The sequence below is a fragment of the Homo sapiens genome, chromosome 9, assembly GCF_000001405.40.
Source record: "Homo sapiens chromosome 9, GRCh38.p14 Primary Assembly".
Classification (NCBI taxonomy): Eukaryota; Metazoa; Chordata; class Mammalia; order Primates; family Hominidae; genus Homo; species Homo sapiens.
The window spans coordinates 18,565,807-18,587,535 of record NC_000009.12 but is presented as its reverse complement, the minus strand read 5'-3'; the positions used below and the strand labels follow the sequence as shown (position 1 = coordinate 18,587,535).

The 21,729-nt window shown below is 37.3% G+C and overlaps 1 protein-coding gene and 1 non-coding gene across 17 annotated transcripts in view; both read right to left on the bottom strand.

Moving 5' to 3' along the window:
* The window catches only part of ADAMTSL1 (ADAMTS like 1), a 1,004,318-nt gene that overhangs the window by 323,415 nt on the left and 659,174 nt on the right, over window positions 1-21,729 (bottom strand). For all 16 annotated transcript variants that reach the window (XM_011518064.4, XM_017015312.3, XM_011518063.3 and 13 more), the window contains one exon: window positions 13,270-13,506. In XM_011518064.4, coding sequence (XP_011516366.1) covers window positions 13,270-13,506 — 237 coding nt within the window. The remainder of the gene's footprint in view (window positions 1-13,269; window positions 13,507-21,729) is intronic.
* On the bottom strand, window positions 14,157-14,230 carry MIR3152 (microRNA 3152). Its single transcript, NR_036107.1, has one exon. It is a non-coding gene; the product is annotated as a microRNA 3152 (primary transcript).

Here is a 21,729-nt window from a genome sequence, read left to right as displayed (position 1 = left end):
AGTTATTGTATATTTCCAAATAGCTAGAAAAGAAGAATTGTAATGCTCCCCATACAAAGAAAAGGTAAATGTTTGAGGTGATAGATACCCCAGTAACTCTGATTTGGTCTTCACACCTTGTATACCATGTATCTCACTGTGGTTTTGATTTGTATTTCTCTAATGATCAATGATATTGAGCTTTTTTTATATGCTTGTTGGCTGCATGTATGTCATCTTTTGAAATGTGCCTGTTCATGCCCTTTACTCACTTTTTAATGGGGTTTCTTGGGGTGGTTTGTTTTATAAACTTGTTTAAGTTCCTTATACATGCTGGATAATAGACGTTTGTCAGTTGCATAGTTTGCAAATATTTTCACCCATTCTGTAGGGTTATCTGTTTACTCTGTTGATAGTTTCTTTTGCTGTGCAGAAGCTCTTTAGTTTAATTAGATTTCATTTGTCAATGTTTGCTTTTGTTGAATTGCTTTCGGCATCTTTGCCACGAAATATTTGCCAGTTCCTATGTCCAGAATGGTATTGCCTACGTTGTCTTCCACAGTTTTTTTTTAATAGTATTTAGTTTTACATTTAAGTCTTTAATCTACTTGAGTTAATTTTTGTCTATGATATAAGGAAGGGGTCCAGTTCCAGTCTTCTGCATATGGCTAGCCAGTTATCCCAGCACCATTTATTGAATAGGGAGTCCTTTCCTCATTGGTTGTGTTTGTCATCTTTGTCAAAGATCAGACGGTCATAGGTGTGTGGCCTTATTTCTGGGCTCTCTATTCTGTTCCATTGGTCTATGTGTCTGTTCTTGAACCAGTACCATGCTGTTTTGGTCACTGTAGTCCTGTACTATAGTTTGAAGTCAGGTAATGTGATGCATTCAGTTTTGTTCTTTTTGTCTAGGATTGCCTTGACTATGGGGCTCTTTTTAAAATTCCATATGAATTTTAAAATAGTTTTTTTTCTAGTTCTGTGAAGAATGTCATTGGTAGTTTGATAGGAATAACATTGAATCTGTAAATTGCTTTAGGCAGTATGGCTATTTCAATGATACTGATTCTTCCTATCCATGAGCATGGAATGTTTTTTCATTTGTTTGTGTTATCTCTGATTTTTTTGAGCAATGGTTTGTAATTATTATTGTAGAAAGTTCTCACCTCTCTAATTGATTAGCTGTATTCTTAGATATTTTATTCTTTTTGTGGGAATTATAAATGGAATTGCATTCCTGATTTGGCTTTCAGCTTGGCTGTTGTTGGTGTACAGGAATGCTAATGATTTTTGTACAATGATTTTATATCCTGAGACTTTGCTGAAGTTGTTTATTGGTTTAAGGAGCTTTTGGGTTGAGCCCATGTGGTTTTCTAGACAGAGAATCATGTTGTCTGCAAACAGAGATAGTGTGACTTCCTTTCTTCCTATTTGGATGCTTTTTATCTTTTTCTCTTGCCTGATTGCTCTGGCCAGCACTTCCAATATGATGTTGAATAGGAGTGGTGAGAGAAGGCATCTTTGTCTTGTGTTGGTTTTAAAAGGGAATTTTCTGGCTTTTGCTCATTCAGTATAATGTTGGCTGTGGGCTTGTCATAGATGACTCTTATTGTTTTAGGGTATTTTCCTTCAATATCTAGTTTATTAAATTTTTAACAAGAAGAGATGTTGAATTTTATAAAAAGTATTTTCCTGCATCTGGGACTATTGTCTTTAGTTCTATTTATGTGATGAATAACATTTATTGACTTGCATACATTGAATCAACCTTGCATCTCTGGGATAAAGCCTAGTTGCTCATGCTAAATTAGCTTTTTGAAGTGATGCTAAATTGGGTTTGCCAGTATTTTGTTGAGGATCTTTGCATCAATATTCATCAAGGATATTGATCTGAAGTTTTCTTTTTTTGTTGTGTCTCTCTCTGCCAGGTTTTGGTATCAGGATGGTGCTGGTCTCACAGAAAAGGGTGTCATATAATAGAAATAATATAATTTGAAGTGTACTTTGCCTTTTTCCAGTTGTATGACTTTCTATGAGCCTCAATTTCCTCATTTATAAAATGGAAATAAAGTTATCCCACAGAATTGGCAGAAGAAGCACATAATGATGGGCATGAGTATATTAAAAAAACTATACATCACTAAAAATAATAAAATTTGAAAATGTTTTCTATTTTAGATTTGCTCTGCCTTGTTTACTTCACTGAATCTCTTTGGGAAAACAAACTCATCAATTTTTGTGAAGCTTACACTTAATTTCAAAGGAAAAATTAAACAGATAGAACTTTCCAAAAAGTTTTTTTATTAAGCCATAGAAACTCTTTCACTTCATAAATGGAATAGCAAGATGGAAAACAATGTTAATATATCAGAAGAATCCCTTCCATGAATAAAAATAATACTTGAATACACAAAAGACCCAGCTACGGTGACAAAAATAAAATATTACGAAATAAATGAATTTCTATGAAGTGTCACTTTCCGGCTTTGGAATTGGATAATGGGTAGAGCTTGGATGAATTTTGAGGTGCTTCATAGAAAAAAACCTAGATCGAAGAGACAGTTGATAGAAATATAGATGTTACCAAAGTATATTTGTGCTGTTATAACAAAATACCTGAGACTGAGTAAGTTATAATAAATGGAAATTTATTTCCTCACAATTCTGGAGACTGGGAAATTCATGATCCAGGTGCCGGCATTTGGTGAGGACCTTCTTGCTACATCATCCATGGATCCATCTTTTTTTTCTTTCAGGCCCCTAGTCAATTGGATGGTGCCCACCAATACTGAGTAAATTTTCCCAACTCAGTCCACTGATTCACAAGGCAATCTCCTCCAAAAATACCCTCACAGACACACCTGGTAACAATGCTTCAGCAGCTATCTAGGCATCCCTAAATCTGGTCAAGTTGACACCTAAAATTAATTATCATAGATGTTAAAGGTAACTCTGGTGAGGCCTTAGAAAGAGATGATGAACATTTAATTGGATACTGGAAGAAAGATGAGTCCTGTTATACAGTGGCAGAGAACTTGGCTGTGTCATTTTCTGCCATTGAGTGGAAAGTAGAACTTTCAGCGATGTATTAGTCTGTTTCCATGCTGCTGATAAAGACATACCTGAGACTGAGCAATTTACAAAAGAAAGAGGTTTATTGGACTTACAGTTCCATGTGGCTGGGGGGGGCCTCACAATCATGGCAGAAGGTGACAGGGACATCTCACATGGTGGCAGACAAAAGAAGAGAGCTTGTGCAGAGAAACTCCTCTTTTTAAAACCATCAGATATCGTGAGACTCATTCACTACCACGAGAACAGCGCAGGAAAGACCTGCACCCATAATTCAATCACCTCCCAATGGGATCCTCCCACAACACGTGGGAATTGTGGGAGTTACAATTCAAGGTAAGATTAGGGTGGGGACACAGCCAAAACACATCATTCCACTCTAGCCCCTCCCAAACCTCATCCCCTTCTCATATTGCAAATTACAATCATCCTTCTCAACAGTCCCCCAAAGTCTTAACTCATTTCAGCATTAACTCAAAAGCCCACAGTCCATCGTCTCATCTGAGACAAAGCAAGTCCCTTCCGCCTATGAGCCTGTAAAATCAAAAGCACGTTAGTTATTTCCGGACACAATGGGGATACAGGCATTTGGTAAATACAGCCATTCCAAATGGGAGAAATTGGCCAAAACAAAGGGACTACAGGCCCTACTCAAGTCCAAAATCCACCAGGGGAGTCAAATCTTAAAGCCCCAAAGTGATTTCCTTTGACTCCTGTCTCATATCTGGATCACTCTGATGCAAGAGGTGGGTCCCCACGGTCTTGGGTAGCTCCGTCCTGGTGGCTCTGCAGGGCACAGCCTCCTTCCCGGCTGCTTTTACTGGCTGGTGTTGAGTGACTGCAGCTTATCCAGGCACACAGTGCAAGCTGTCAGTGGATCTACCATTCTGCGTCTGGAGGATGGTGGCCCTTGTCTCACAGCTTTCCTAGGTGGTGTTCCAGTAGGCACTCTGTGTGGAGGCTCCGACCTCACATTTCCCTTCTGCACTGCCCTAGCAGAGGTTCTCCATGACAGCCCCACCCCTGTGGCAAACTTCTGACTGGGCATTCAGGTATTTCCATACATCTTCTGAAATCTAGGTGGAGGTTCCCAAACCTTAATTCTTGACTTCTGTGCACTCACAGGCTCAACACCACATGGAAGCTGCTAAGGTATGGGGCTTGCACCCTCTGAAGCTACGGCCCGAGCCCTACCTTGACCCCTTTCAGCCATGGCTGGAGCAGCTGGGATGCAGGGCACCAAGTCCCTAGGGTGCACACAGCATGGGGATCCTGGGCCCGGCCCACGAAACCACTTTTTCCTCCTGCCTGTTACCCAGTTCCAAAGTTGCTTCCATATTTTCAGGTATCTTTTCAGCAGCACCCTCCTCTACTGGTACCAATTTACTGTATTAGCCCATTTTCACGCTGCTTATAAACATACCCAAGACCGAGCAATTTACAAAAGAAAGAGGTTTATTAGACTTACAGTTTCATGTGGCTGGGGCAGCCTCACAATCATTGCAGAAGGTGATAGCCATGTCTCACATGGCAGCAGACAACAGAAGAGAGCTTGTGCAGGGAAACTCCCCTTTTTATTTTATTTTATTTTATTTTTATTTTATTTTATTTTATTTTATTTATTTTATTTTATTTTGAGATGGAGTCTCGTTGTGTCGCCCAGGCTGGAGTGCAGTGGTGCAATCTTGGCTCACTGCAACCTCCGCCTCCCTGGTTCAAGCAATTCTCCTGCTTCAGCCTCCAGAGAAGCTGGGACTACAGGTGCCCTCTACCACACCTGGCTAATATTTTGTATTTTTAAGTAGAGATGGGGTTTCACCATGTTAGCCAGGATGGTCTCAATCTCCTGACCTCATGATCCACCCACCTCAGCCTCCCAAAGTGCTGGGATTACAGGTGTGAGCCACTGCACCCAGCCTGAAACTTCCCTTTTCAAAACCATCAGATCTCATGAGACTCATTCACTATCATGAGAAGAGACCAGGAAAGATCTGCTCTCATAATTCAATCGCCTCCCACCGGGTTCCTCCCACAACATGTGGGAATTGCAGGAGTTCCAGTTCAAGGTGAGATTTGGGTCAGAACACAGCCAAACCATATCAAACAATAAACTTACGTACTTAGCTGAGTAGACTTCCAAACACAGTATGGATGACTACAGCCTGGTTTCTCCTTGGTACTTATAGTAAAATGTGAGAGCCAAGAGATAAACTGAGAGATGAACTGTTAAACAAAAAGGTACTAGCATTTGATTATTTGAAACATTTTCAGCTTATTTAGGTAGTGTGCTCTGGTAACAGGGCCAAGGTTATGGCTAGATAACCATTTGCTAAAGAAATTAGGCATGTGACCCATGAATCCCTCAAACATCTTAGCAGAAGCCAGGAATAGAGATGCAGTTATTCAGAAAAGAACTGTAGAGGACCCCCTTGTTTGATGGCTTGGATACCTGTTAATTGCAAGAAAGACTGACGTGATTTCTGAGAATTTCATACCAGCAGAAATACTGACAGCCTAGAATAAATGTCTCAGAGATGGGACAAAGTGAAAGAAGAATGACTCTTAGGTCTGAGGCACAGATGCAGAAGCCTGGGCTGACTCTACCTCCTTGAGCTGAGAGGGAAGGGCTGCCTCCTTGGCAGGCACATAGATTGAAGCACTGAGCCACAAGGATTATTCTCAGGCCTTGAAATCTAGTGGATTTTTTTCCTGCTCGGTATCAGACATGCTTAGGACCTATGATCCCTTTTTCTTTGGTGTTTTTCCCTTTTTGAGTGGGAATGGGAATCTGCTTCTGCTTGTCCCACCATTGTATTTTGGAAGCAGATAACTTATTTTTGGTTTCAAATGTGCACAGATGGAGACAAATGATGTCCCAGGATGCACTATATCCAAGTCTCACCCATAGCTGATTCAGCTGATAGAATTTGGAACTTTCTGAGTTGATAATATTTTAGAGTTACAGTTGACTCTGAAATGGGTTAAAACTTTTGGGATATTGGGATCAGGTGAATATTTGTCACATGTGAAGGATGTAAATTTGGGAGCCAGACAGCTGGCTGTCATGGGTTGAATTGTGTCTCCCCCAAAAGATAAGCTAAAGTCAAAACCTCTGATGCCTATAAATGTGACCTTTTTAGGAAATAGAATCTTTGCAGATGTAACCAAATTGAGATGAATTCATAATCCGTTAGGGTGGGCTCAATTTAATATGATTGCTGTCCTTATAAGAAGAGGTGAAGACACAGACACAGAGGGTAGAATGCCATTTGATAACAGAGGCAGAGATTAGAGTGATGCAGCTGCAAGTTAAGAAATAGTAAAGATTGATGGCTACTATTAGAAGTTAGGAAGAGGCAAAAGAGGCAAAGGATTCCACCCAGAGCCTCAGAGAAAGCATGGTTCTGATGACACTTTGATTTTTGAATTCTGGCCTCATGAACTGTGGGAGAATAAATTTCTGTTGTTTTAAGCCACCATGTAAAGGAATTTGGGATTTTTTTAACCTGAAGGCAAAAAAAAAATGCAATTGAAATGATTCAAGCAGATGATAAATGAAACCAAATCTGTATTTTAGCAAGAGGTCCCCATTTACAGTGAGGGCAGTATAGTATAGTGACTATAGTACACTTTCATATTTACTTATCTCCTCTCACAGTGAAAATTCTGGAAGGGCAGGGACTATCCTTCTTGTCCATTAATGTATTTTCAGTATTTAGCATACTGTTAATTCCTAAGTAAAATTTGTTAGACAAATATATTTTTAAAAGTTTTTCACAATAACTCTAAAAATGTATCACTCCTATGGAAAGAGATCTTAATCAATTTTATATCCTCAATAATCAACATACAGCAGATTGTTGGAAGAATGCATAAACAAGATTCAGAAACTAAGGAAATTCAACTAGTAAGTAGTAGTTAGTTTTATCTTTACTATGCTATGAAAAGAGCAGAATAAGAAAGACTATGCATTAAATATTTTAAGAAAAACCATGCTTCCATGTGGAATTAGATTATAAAGTACAGAAGAAAAAATGTCCAACGCCTTATTTCTGACATCATCACCTTTGGAATAACTGGTGGACATTTGATACTAGTGACTTAGGTCACAGACAGAGATGGAGAAATAATCATTCTATTCAATTCATTTCAAACTACTCACCACAGGAATTATTAAAAATGAAAAGAATTTCTTTGTTAGAAATATGGTTCATTTTGATGTTGCCAGAATAAAGACATCAAAACTCTGTGATTCATTTTATTGCTTATTTCTGTACTGTATTATTCATTTTAAAACAATATTATATAAGGCATTACTTGAAAGGAATTCTTCTTTCCCTTTTTGAAATGCTTAATTTTTTGAAATAGCAATAAGCAATATTATAAATATGCAGATTCATGATAAAAGGCTTGTTTATAATCATACTTTTTCTTTTGACATATATCAGGTATCATCTGATGAATTCTATTAATTACAAAAATAAAACATACTTTTCTCTATTTGCTTTCAAAATAACCTCAAAATTATTTTTAACAGCAGCACATGTTCTGTCCATACATTTATGCTACTCTTTTAAAAAATATATTTAAAACAGAAACCGGCTTTGTGCTTTACAACAAATATAAATAGGGGTAATTTGGATAATGAAAATAAATGAATAACAGCAGTACTAATAGAACTGATCCTATTTGTGATGGCTCATTAACTCTGTACAGGATGCAATTCACTGCCCTGGATCAGGAGTTGATAATTGTACAATGTGGAGCTATCTGCAAAAGATGACTGCAATAGGAAATTAACAGAAGGTCTGCTCATTCATTGGGAAGTCAGTGCCCCTTTCGTATGTGTACCCATATTAAATCATGTACTCAGAAAGGCTCTAAGGAAGAAAAAGAAAAAGATAAGACATAACTTGGGTACAATTAATACAAGTAGTATTTATCAAGCTCATAGTAAGCACTTTATTTTTTTTATTTATTTATTTTTTAATTATACTTTAAGTTTTAGGGTACATGTGCACATTGTGCAGGTTAGTTACATATGTATACATGTGCCATGCTGGTGTGCTGCACCCACTAACTCGTCATCTAGCATTAGGTATATCTCCCAATGCTATCCCTCCCCCCTCCCCCCTCCCCACCACAGTCCCCAGCGTGTGATATTCCCCTTCCTGTGTCCATGTGATCTCATTGTTCAATTCCCACCTATGAGTGAGAATATGCGGCGTTTGGTTTTTTGTTCTTGCGATAGTTTACTGAGAATGATGGTTTCCAATTTCATCCATGTCCCTACAAAGGACATGAACTCATCATTTTTTACGGCTGCATAGTATTCCATGGTGTATATGTGCCACATTTTCTTAATCCAGTCTATCATTGTTGGACATTTGGGTTGGTTCCAAGTCTTTGCTATTGTGAATAATGCCGCAACATGACATGAACAGACACTTCTCAAAAGAAGACATTTATGCAGCCAAAAAACACATGAAAAAATGCTCATCATCACTGGCCATCAGAGAAATGCAAATCAAAACCACTATGAGATATCATCTCACACCAGTTAGAATGGCAATCATTAAAAAGTCAGGAAACAACAGGTGCTGGAGAGGATGTGGAGAAATAGGAACACTTTTACACTGTTGGTGGGACTGTAAACTAGTTCAACCATTGTGGAAGTCAGTGTGGCGATTCCTCAGGGATCTAGAACTAGAAATACCATTTGACCCAGCCATCCCATTACTGGGTATATACCCAAATGACTATAAATCATGCTGCTATAAAGACACATGCACACGTATGTTTATTGCGGCATAGTAAGCACTTTAAATGCACTTGATTACTTAATCTTCCTTCTAATCCTATTTTTACAATTATTATCCTCATTTTGCAGATGACAAAACTGAGGCTTAGGAACTTGCTCAAAGGCACATGCCAATGAGTGGTGGAGCTTAGATTCCAACCTAGATGGTATGATTCCAGAGCCTCTTGTCTTTAACTATTCATACAATGACAAATTGCCTCCCTAGCTCAGCCTTCTCTCTAACTTCATCTAGTCTAGAATGATAGTGAGCAAATAAGAATCCCAGTGTTTCTCAGTCTGAGATGCAGGGTGAAGAGGGATAACACAATCACCCACTGGGGATGATTGTCAGAATCTAGGAGGGAGAGAGGGAGAGAAAGGGGGAGAATGTGGTTTGAAAAGGTATATTCATTAAACCTATTGTTTTCATAATATTAATGACAGAATTACAGCTAGACAAAATCTCAGCTCATGGGATAAACTGAAGAAATAATGTAAGGAGCATAATTAGAAAATGTTGATAAACACCAGCACTCTCTGCCTTCTAGTCTGTCATTAACTAGCCATAGGATCCTGGGAAAATCATACAATGATTTGCTGGGGCTGGACTAGATCATCTCAAAGGCCCTGCTTTCAAACGCTGGGCTGTGAAGTGCTATTAGTGACAATTTCTGTGCTCTGGAAAAAAAAAAAAAAAAGAGAAAAGTAAAGGGCAGTAACTTTCTCATAAGACAAACTATCTCCAGTTCAAAGAATTGTCCTTTATTCTGAAACTGGGTTCTTACTACTTCCTTGTGATGAACGTTTCAATTGTGAAATGATGATGGGGATAGTACATGGTAGAAGGTCTCTTTTTGTTTTTTTTAAAGTCATTACCTAACCAATTAAGAAGTTTGTTACTTGTCACATCCTGGGAAGTTTTTTGAAACGTTACAGTTATAAAATCTTATACAGGGAACCACTAGTTTAATATATTTTTCAACTTAAAATTTTCAGAGTCTTCTACATTTCTACAGCACTTTACAGTTTATTAAACATTTTCACATATATTTTCTCACTTTGGTACACTATGGTCTAGGAGACAATTCATTTTCCACAGATTGAAAAATGGAGCTTAGGGACGTTGCGTATCTTGACCAAGATTACACAGCTCGTTAAAGAGGAGCTAGATTCAAACTCATGTTGTATTTATTTATTTAGAGATGGAGTCTTGCTCTGTCACCCAGGCTGGAGTACAGTGGTGCAATCTCGGCTCACTGCAACCTCTGCCTCCCAGGTTTAAGCCATTGTCCTGCCTCAGCCTCCCAAATAGCTGCGAATACGAGCACCTGCCATCACGCCTGGCTAATTTTTGTATTTTTAGTACAGACAGGGTTTCGCCGTGTTGGCCAGGCAGGTCTCAAACTCCGGACCTCGAGTGATCCGCCCTCCTCAGCCTACCAAAATGCCCAGATTACAGGCATGAGACACCGTGCCTGGCCCCAACTCATGTCTTTTGACTTTAAATTCTGTCTGCTTTCCAATCTGTAAGTGAATCTGGCCATGATAGAATCATAAGAAAAGTGTTTTCAATACATAGAATTAATAAATCTGAATTTCTGGAAGACAGGTCTTAAGAGTTGTGTCTTTTAAGAGCTCTCCAGGTGATTCTGATAGGCAGCCAAATCTGGGGACCATTACCAAATGGTCTGCGCCTCTGTATACCTGGCCTCGCTGGAAAGAATAGGAGTTTTGAACTCAGACAGAGCTGGGAGTCTCTGGGCAAGATATAAAATCGACCTGAGCCTCCAGTTTCCTCATCTGTGAAATAAGGATAATGATGTCTAACATGCAGAACTGTAAATATTTGAAAAAAAAATAAAGTACCTAGATACGGTAGTCACTCAAAAATGGAAGCTATTATCATTACTACTACTACCTCGTATGATGCTCTATTACTACTGAGTAAGAATTAGGTATATATTATAAATAGCAATGATTCTAGAACTTTCCTGAAGAAATTTACAACAAACACATGCCACCCAAATTATTCGTGATCTCAGGACAGTCTCCAGGTCTCAGTTTCCTCTTCTATGAAACGGCAATAACTGTGAGTTGCTAAGCTATCTTCTGGCTCTAAAAAGTCCAGGACTCTGTGATTCTATTTAAGAGTTAAAGAACCAGTCTTGAGAATGTGGCTCTTTGAAGAGTATTAAACAGGTATACTTGAAATAAATTAGTGCATATGAATGACAAATTTCTATAGCTATGCTGTCATTTTCTATCAAGGTGAGACTATGGTCATCCATGGTTTACCACAGTCCTGTCTGCCGTTCAAGCCTCCATGTTTCTCTCCCAAACTACCTCCCTATTCTTACTGCATAGCTAGGTCTTATCTGGCTCTCCAGCCAAACTAAATTTCTTGTTAGTGCTTAAATGCAATCTTTGTTTTTCCATCGCCTTTACTACATGATTGCCTCTAACAAGACAAATAAATGAAGAAAATAATAATAATAACCAGTCATTATTTCTACGTATAAGTTACAATGCTTTTCAAATACGGTATAATTTACAAATTATACCGTATTTGCTCTCAAATCTGTCATACTCATAAGAATATAAGTTAAAGCATGTTTATACTTGTAACCCAAAGTCCAGTACTATCACTCCATATTTATTATATATGAAATTTATTCCTTAGCAACTGAGATAGGATTCTCTTTCAGTTGCTAAGGTACCATGAGGCCTGCTGGCAGGATTAGTTTAGGAAAAAATATGCCACGTTGAACTCCCATGCAAAAGAAATAAATGAAACCTAATTTGCTGAGCTGTCTTGTTTATTTTGGTTCATTCAGCAGGGTAATATAGTAGCAATAACATTGAATGGGATCTCAGGAGATGTGGAATTTAGTCCCATTTCTGGCATGACCAAACATACAGCTTTCAGGAGATCAAGCATATTTTCTGGTCCTCAGTTTTTTCACTTCTAAAATGGAAATCTTCCTTGCTTTTACTCAAACAGTATACATACATAGGGAGTTATTATTCTTTTGTTTGCCATTCCCTACAACACAGTCCCCTTTCTAAATCTATTTGCTTTACAATTCTCTACTATTCCTAAAGATTTTTCAGATTCCCTAATTCCATTTCATTACCACTAAGAGTCCTAGAGGAGGAAGTAAATAGCAAAGATCAGAAATGATTTATTCAGATATATTGCTTTTTAGAATGTTGATTGAATAACTCTAAGGCCCTTTCTAGCTTTAAAATAGTAAAATTCCACATTCAAATTTACACCTGAAATTCATATATCTCTTGTATATAAGGAAACCTTAAGATATGTTTCATCAGTGACAAACTCCTATATGACATCAGTTTCTCTGCCTCATGATTTTAAACTTTAGGAAGGTTGACTATGTTTGTTTCCCTCTTGCATGCATAAAACCTTGCCTGACATCTCACATCTCTTATAGTCATTTACACTACAGTTTTTGCCTTTACATCCAAATATAGATGTAAGTTTTAAAAAAATAAATTTGAAACAACAAATTACTAAAACATATATTTCTCTTACATTCCTAGCCGTGATATTATACATTCTGAAGAGAGAAAATTTCAGCTGACACCATGTTGGAAAAGGCAAATACTCTCAAAATTTTGTGTCTGCTTCATGAAATATAAAAGCATATAGTCAAATACAGCACACAGAAAAACAATAGCAACTGCTTGCTCCAAAAACTAGACTGGTAATCCTAATCCAAAAAGTGGACCTGAAAATAAAGATGGCAAAGACATGACAAACATACAAACCCTTTTTCACCTTACTAATTCCCTACCTAGAGTAGACATTGATGAATGGATGGATACCAGAAATCAAACCTTTTTGTAATCCTGTTTTAAAGATTTAACTGGCTTAAGTCCAACCTAGCTGGCTCTTCCATGACTTTCTCTACAGTGTGTCTGAATTTTCAATACAATGGAAATTATAGTAAAGTAGCAAGTTTTCCTACAGTTTACTTGGGGATTTTAGAATTGGTCTTACCTGATTTATTCTGAAACTGAGTCAATGAAAATCCAGTCTCTAAATACACACACACACACACACACACAAACACAAACACACACTTCAGGAATAGCCAATCCAGGGGATAATTTCAAAGTCTAGTACATAATTGATAAACACTATTCAAAAATTTTTATTCTTTTATATTCAAGTGACACTCAAGGAAAGAAAAATAACTCTAGTCTACTTTTCCTTCGCACAATACAACACTTGGTACTTTTCACTGAAATCATACCTTAATTTTCAAATCTTTCACCATTTACAAACTCTAAAAAGTGTAAAGATGAGTGATTCAGAGAGTGAGACTATGTAAACCATTTACACAAAGACATTGAAACCCTCTGGACAAGTTGAATGAGAACAAATCAGCACTTACTTGGCATAAACCACTGATGCACATATCCAAAGATTCTGTATAGCAACGCGTACCATCTAAGACCTTAGGTGCTAGTTCAACAACCAGGGTTGTTCCTTTGGCTTGGCACTTGAGTGAACATGGGTTGTCAGGGTCATTAGACACAGGAAGCCATTCATAAAACTGGCCATGGTGCTTGACATCATTATGAGCTGAGCATTGCTGAGCTCGGAAATCACCTGCTTCTGGTGGGCAGTCCTGGAGAAAAAAGAGAGAAAGGACATACAAAGGTTAGGAGGATACCCCCAAACATGAAACCAGAGCAGCTATATGGTCTGCTTAGGTCTTAGAAAGCAAAACAAATGTCCTGGTCATGATAGATGGAACTTATAATATCATCTTAGAGGTTATATGATTATTTGGCTTGCAAAATGTAGAAATCTGATAAAGCAATCACCTCAAAATACATTTTCTGATTGAGTTTAAATGGAAAAATAATTGGCTTGAAATAGATATTCTGATTAGGTGGGACATACATTTTTTGAAAGTTGTCTATTGGTTCATGAATTCTTCCACACTGTACTATCATTTTGACTTCCTCATAAGTAGAACCTAGTAAAGTCAGAGGATTAGTTGAAATTATTTGTCTCTTTCAGTTCTGATATTGAGAGCTATGACAATTGTTTATTTGAATAACTAGCAGTAAAAAGTTATAAAAATTTCATTCAAAAAGTTTTTGTGGAGTTGTAATTTTTTGTCTAGGACTTAGGTTGCATAGTATCTAGAATTAAACATGGGGAACAAAAAATATGAAACCATTTATATATGAATTGCTTTGGCTTAAGGCAGCATGGCAGAATGGAAAGAGCATGGACTTCCTCCTTAGATGGGTGGGTGGCTGCAATGCAGTGCAGAGTTATTGCCCCTATTCTAACACAGGGAAGCCTAGTCTTGTGTTAGAACAGAGGCAATAACTCTGCACAGCTCTCAAGGTTGTTGTGAGAAGTTCACGAACTCATGCTGGCCAAATATATGCACAAGGAATATACTGAGTAGATGGTAGCTATTACTATGATTATTTAATGAGGCCACAGAAGGCAAAGGGATGGAGTATGAGGAGATTCTCTCAATTTGAATTGTAAATTATATTGTTAGAGATCAGTGGAAAATAAGAATCTTTTTGATGTAAGTTTCATAAAGGGCAATTTAAAATGTAAAACTATGGCTAACAATGGCCATTATCTAATGAATAATAAATCTCAGTAAAAGCAGGTAAGATTTAATTTTAAAAAGGCAAATATTGCCTATCCCTTGGAAGGGCTTTTTGATAGGTTTATCTTATTCTACAAGCCTTCAGATTAAAATTTACCATGGAAGACTGTCGTCGACTCTCCAGCTGTAGAAAGGCTTTTATTCTAATTTTTTGTTTTAAATAAAGGATTTCCATGTAGCCTTCAGCAGTTCCCTGTTACTACATTATCATTGTGAGAGTTCTCTTATATAAGGTTTCTTTCTCTGAAAAATCTCTTTACCTTTAAATAAGCATTCTAAAACAGCACTGAAAATTTTGACTCTTTTCCAAAACATTAGTGATACTACTAAAGAGCATATAACGCTCTGGTAGTTGAGGGAGCACAAATTCTTTCTAGGCAATGTGGGGTAGAAACAAATATTTATTTAGGATGAACATGAAATTGTTCAAAATACAATATAAAATGTCAAAGACATTTTACTGTTAGTATTATGTGTTCTCAGAGTGAATAAACCATAGTAGCAGAGGAAAAGAATAATGTATATAACATAGGTACAGATACACAGGCACCCAGCAAGGCTTAACATTTTGAATATTGTCTGAAAAGAGTATGAATAAAATTTACCAATTATTAATTTTTTAGATAATAGGATGCAGTTTAAATTTTTTAAGATCCATAAATAAATAAATATGTGTGCTATACAGGCTGTTTACACGTTTATTTTGTAAAATAAAACAAAAACTACCTACAACCAGCAAAACTATATTATGAATTACAACACAGGTAAATTGTGTCAAATCATGACATACAATACAAATTAACTTTATTTTTTTTTTTTTTGACAAGGAGTCTCGCTCTGTCTCCCCGGGTGGAGTGTAGTGGCGTGATCTCGGCTCACTGCAACCTCCGCCTCCTGGGTTCAAGCAGTTCTCCTACCTCAGCCTTCTGAGCAGTTGGGATTACAGGCATGTGCCCCCACACCCAGCTCATTTTTTTATATTTTTAGTAGAGACAGGGTTTTGCCATGTTGGCCAGGCTGGTCTCGAACTCCTGACCTCAGGTGATCCACCTGCCTTGGCCTCTCAAAGTGCTGGGATTATAGGCATGAGCCACCGCAACTGGCCACAAACAACTTTAAATGTTTAACACAAGCTCCTTTCAGACCATATGTTCTAGAGCACAGAGAAACTGATTTAATATTGTCTTAATGAACTCACATTCCAAAGATAAGACTTCCACTTGCCTAATTTACAAATTCTACCAATATCTGCCTAGGCCTCACTTACTAACTTCTGCCCTAAAACAACTCTATAACTAACAACTGCCCCCAAACTCTACACGTAGCCTTCCTTAAATTTCCCCACTTGAGATACGATAGAGTCTCTGTCAAGGTGCTGCTCTCTCCTGCTTAGCATGTTTAATAAACCTACCTTTATATGATCCACAAGTTCCTGGTCATTGAATGGGAGCGTCTAAAGTTGAACTGACAGTTTAGCAATGTTTAAATACAGTATTTTCGTTTGATAGTACCTATCATCCCAGGAGTCACTTGATTACTCAGTACAAGTACAGAAGAAGTAGAGTACATTGTACTGGGGGTACAGTACTTCATTATACTGAAATACAATAAAGCAGAACATTGAGGAAATTGTTTGAAATGGTTCCAAACTCCTCTTAAAATTTCCTTTGCCTCCTTTTTCTATACAAGTGAAACAGTTAGAAGGGTCAGGCTGAATCGCCTCTGCCTTAATGAGCAGAAGATATAATTAAGAGACCTCTTAATATGAACCAGGGAAAATTTTCTGCACGTTTCCAATTCTGATAAAAGTGTCAATTATGTTTTTAAATTGATAATGCAATATCATCTTAGTACAGACATAAAACCTCTACAGAGTCTCCTATGATTCCCCTCTGTTCAATAAATTGTGTTGGTTCTTTCCACCTTTCCTAAGAAAAATAGGACCTAAAGGCAGTCAAAGGTAAACCAATGAAGTTAAAATGTTAAGACCTTTAGGTTCTGTTTTCTGTGACAAACACAGTAAACACATTTAGACACATCTTAGAGACTCAACATGCAGACAGATGTTCTTATTTGCAAGTCACCTGTATCTAATGGCTTCAGGAACACCTGTTACAAGTTTTATGGTTTCACAACTAGAGAAATAGGTCTGAGAAGAATAATGCTTATGAGCATCTTTACTCAGTTTTATCACTACTGTCTTTCCTTCCACCCATATTTTTGTAGGGGTGGGAAAATATATTTTGCTAAATTGAGAATGCATTTAAACCTGGAGTTCAGAGTTGGAAACTGAACTTGAACCTTTTTAGTGTTTGAGTTTATTTGTACTTGGCAAAATGCAACTTCCTGTTTTAAGAAAAAGGACTTAAGAAAACTTATAAAACAGGTTCAGAAAGCTTCTTGGACATCAAATAGCTTTTACAAAAATAACATTTTGATGATTTAAGTGTAAATGAATCAGAAACATATGAATCAAATTTCCCTTGAAATACACATGTTTAAAAATTAAGGGGAAGAAGGATTTGGCAAACATTCTTTGTTTGAACCCAAAACATTTCAAGCATAGTTTAAGACATCCATTGAACCCCTAATGCATCTGGGATCATCCAGCTGCAAGAGTGGAAACTCAAGTAGTCATTGTAGCCTCTTGTTCCACAAGTATGCTAATAAAAATAATTTGTATAGAGATTTACCATCTACAAAGGTTTTGGTTTATAATTATAAATTGGTCCATGAAACCATTATACTTCCTGATCCTTTTGTGGGTTTTTTTGGTCTTTTTTTTTTTTTCCTTTTGTGGCGAATGGGGTCTCGCCCTTCATTCTCCAGGCAAGTCTCGAAGTTGCTCAGACAGGTCTGGAACCCTTGGACTCATGCTATCCTTCCACCTCTGCCTCCCTAAGTGCTGGAATTACAGGTGTGAGTCACTGTGCCTGACTCTTTTAAAAGTAAGATTTAGAAACTGATAACCTAACTGTTTTGAAAAATACTTACCATCTTTTTCTGGGCATCATCTTTGAAATATCAGCTTTTGGAGAGATGCTTTTTGATGCCACAAGTAATCAGTTTTAACCATGATAGGTAGTTTTCTTTAAGGAATACTGAATGTAGAATGTACTAAATATATATAATGTGGGATTTCTGCTCTCATCATATCCTAGTGGTAAGAATAATAAACTTTAAATTGGCATATTTAAAATAAAGAATAAAACAAATGAATTATGGTTTAAATATGCTTACATGTATTAATATATTTTTGCACTGAACTTGGCTCATAGAAAGCATTGATGGAGACAATTAAAATAGTCAAAAAGTCTAGTAGTTATATGGACCAAATGCATTCCATTCCCTAACAAGAACCTGGCAAAAAATATAGTGTGGGAGGGATGCACAGGACTACAGACTCCCACATCCAGCCCCTCATACATCTCCAGAATTGCCATCAAATAGAAATGGAGCAAGAGAAAGCAATCTAAGACTTTTTTTCTTGGTTTCCTGCCTATTTCCAATAAACTCTAAATATACCTGTGGCTTGACAGCTCTGTGTCATGTTACTGGGCTAAGGCTTCCTCACTATAAAAGTCTATTTTCTGTGAAATAATAACATGATCCCACGAATTACTGTATTTAGCCATTTAATATAATCATTTCTCTCCCCGAGTTTTAAGCACTCAATTCTAACCGTGTCAGAGCTCTCCTCTTTAAAAGCACAAAAATAAAAGCTGACCTTTTATTTGCTCCCATTATAATTCATAAAGTCCATGGAGTTCTGCCATATATGAATCCAATTCAAAACATTTTCTGGTTAATCAACTATCCAGTGGGAAAGATAAGATGGATCCCAGATGTCCCCTGATGATGACAGTAGATCAGATTACACTGTGAGACAAAGGAGGGTCAGGGTTCCCAGTTTACTCACCGGGTGAAATGTACAAGATTCTACCGCAGCAGCTAAGGTGGCACTATATAAAAGGTTTTAAAATGGCTTTGAAAAATATACATAATGTAGATTCAGGGTCAGGAGAAGCATTAATTTTTCTTTATTTTCATTCTTTTTAAAGAAGGCATTTTCCTTTAGAGAGACATACCTCTGTTTTTCCTCTTCCCTTAAATATTCAGTGGTAGTCCTATTCTATTAATTTTGTTGTTTCATTTAACCTATTATATGAGTGCCATCCTATTAATGCTTTTATGTGTAGAATCAATATTGGTATCTGATAGTATCAAGAACCTTGGAAATCATATTCAGATGACTACATGTACTGTAGTAACCGAAAAAAAAAAAAAAATCCATGCTTCTGACTTAATTTTCCTCTCTTAGAAATGTACTTAAACCCCATACTGCCCCTCCACACTGTCCTAATCACTCACTCTCCATAACAGTTACTATGCAAGAAAACGCAATTAGAACTGCCTAGCAAGGCATCTACTTTATCCTCCAACAACTGCGGATAACCACGTTATGATAAAAACATACGTGGAAATTTACCAGCTACTGGATGATGTTAGAAAATGTTACCAGTTGTTTTACCCTCAAAATATTAGGAATCCTCAATTTACTGACAGTAAAACCAGAAAAGATTACCATAAAAGGCTGCTCTATAATAAATGGATAAATGTTCTGGAAAATATATCCTCTAAAGCTTTCGAATCTTTTAGCACACCTAAGTAGATGGTGGGCTGCCTCTTTTACATATTTTGGTCTTTGTTACTTGGCTTTCTGTATCTTTTATTCAAAGTTAAGATGAAAGCACTGAATAGCAAATATCCATCGATAAAATCCAATGTACTATATTTTGTTCTCGGAAAAAAAAAATCAGTGTTTCAATTTCTATTTGCAACTCAGACCTCCTCGCTTGAAATTCAGACTTATATACAGTAGTCCCCCTTGTCTGTGGTTTTGCTTTCTGGGGTTTTAGTTACACACAGTCACCCACAGTTTGAGAACAGGTGAGCACAGTACAATAAGATATTTTGAGAGAATGAAAGAGAGATCACATTCACTTAAGTTTTATTACAGCATGTTGTTATAGTAGAGTTATAATAGCATAGAGTTATAACTGCATAGTTACAATAGAGTTATAATAGTACAATAGAGGTTTTTACAGCATATTGTTAGAAAAATTCTATCAATAATATTAAATGTTAAAATTCTATTTTATTATTTTTGCTAATTTCTCAATGTGATTTATAAATTAAACTTTATCTCATATATGTATGAGAAATTATCTATATTTTCTTACATAAGTACATAGATACATGCATTGTATGTGTGTATAAGAATATATTTGTGTTAGTATCTATAGGGTTAGGTACTATCCACAGTTTTAGACATCCACTGTGGGTCTTGGAGCATATTCCCTGAGAATAAGGGGGGGACTACTGTATACAACTGCTCACTTGCCATCTGGACATCTAAGACACTGGAAACTCATCATGTCCAAACCTGAATCCCTGATCCTCCTGCTATCCCCATGAAATCTGTTCTCCCTGCAGCATTCCCCAACCCAATGTCAACTCTATACTCTTCAGGCCAAAACCTTTTTGTTTTTTCTTTTTTCTGGCTCTGTCACCCAGGCTGGAGTGCAGTGGCATGATCTCGGCTCGCTGCAACTTCTACTGCCTGGGTTCAAGCAATTCTCCTGCCTCAGCCTCCTAAATAACTGGGATTACAGGTGTGTGCCACCATACCTGGCTACTTTTCTGTATTTTTAGTAGAGACAGGGTTTTACCATGTTGGCCAGACTGGTCTTGAACTCCTGACCTCAAGAGATCCACCTGCCTCAGCCTCCCAAAGTGCTGAGATTAACGGCATGAGCCACCTTGCCCAGCCTAGTCAAAAACTTTAAAGCAGTGGTTTTCAAACTTAAACGTACATCAAAATCACCTGAAGGCCTTTTTAAAATACAGGATTGTTGGGGCCCCACCCTCCAGAGCTTCTAATTCAGTAGACCTGGGGTGAGGCTTAATAATTTGCATTTCAAACAAGATCCCAGGTGATGCGAATGTTGCTAATTTGGCAAACCCGCTTTGAGAACCACTGCCTTAGAGCCATATTTGACTTCCATATCCAATCCATCAGAACTATTTTTCTATACACAAAAAACACAGAATCTGATCACAACCAAGTCCAAGGAGCCATCATGTCATGCCTGCGTTCTTGCAATAGTCTCCTAATTTCCCTTCTGCCCTTGCTCTCCTGGAAAGTTTTGTCAGCACAGTGGCCAGAATGGTCTTATGAGAGCCCCCATCATCCCTCAGGCCTGTCACATCCTATTGTCCTTGCTCACTTAGCTCCAGTCACCCTTGATTTTTCTGGAATCAAGGCCCTGTGTCTTCAGGGACATTCCAGGAACACTCTTACTTTAGGATGCATGCATTATCCATCCCTTCTGCCTGGAATTCTCTTTGCCCAGATTCTGAGGAGCGAATTACCTCACCTTTATCAAGTCTTTGCTCAAATATCACCTCCACAAAGCTTAGGCTGCCTACTCTGTGTAAAACTGCAATCCCATTCCCACTGCTGATTTGTCTTTATCCTGCTCAACTTTCCTTTTTCCTATAACACTTAGTCACCCACAAGTATATCGGATAATTTACTCATTTACTGTGCTTAACATTTTATTGTCTGTCTTCGTCTACTACAGCAGAACCTCCAGAAGGACAGCAATCTTTTCCCATTTGGCTTTCTGTTACATACCAGGTACTCGAATATTTGTTGAAAGAATGACTAACACATTGAATAAAGGAAACAGACGTCATATTTTTTATTGTGGGAACTCCAGTGCTGCTTTCATAAGTCTTGCAGGAATTTGAATCTTAGTTTTCTAATTGATGGAATATCTAATTTTTTTCTTTCTTTCAAAAAAAATTTACGAGAATAAATTTACAAGAATACTAATACATTTCAGACACTAGGAAAGTTGGTTAGGGAGTCTTGCCTAGTTTCTGAATAGGCAGACTGATATTTCCTTCTCCATGTAAACAAATTTAACAGGCCAATATTAAGAAACATAAAATGTGCTGAAATCCTTTATTATTTAAAAAATAGCCAGACATTTGTAAATTTTATATAACATTTAATGTTGTAAGCACGCACTATAAAGTACTCATATTAAAGTACTAAGCTTTAACCCCCAAATTTTGGCCACCTGATTATACTAACATCAAAATTATCATCAAAAGCATTTATTTGTGCAAGATTGCTAG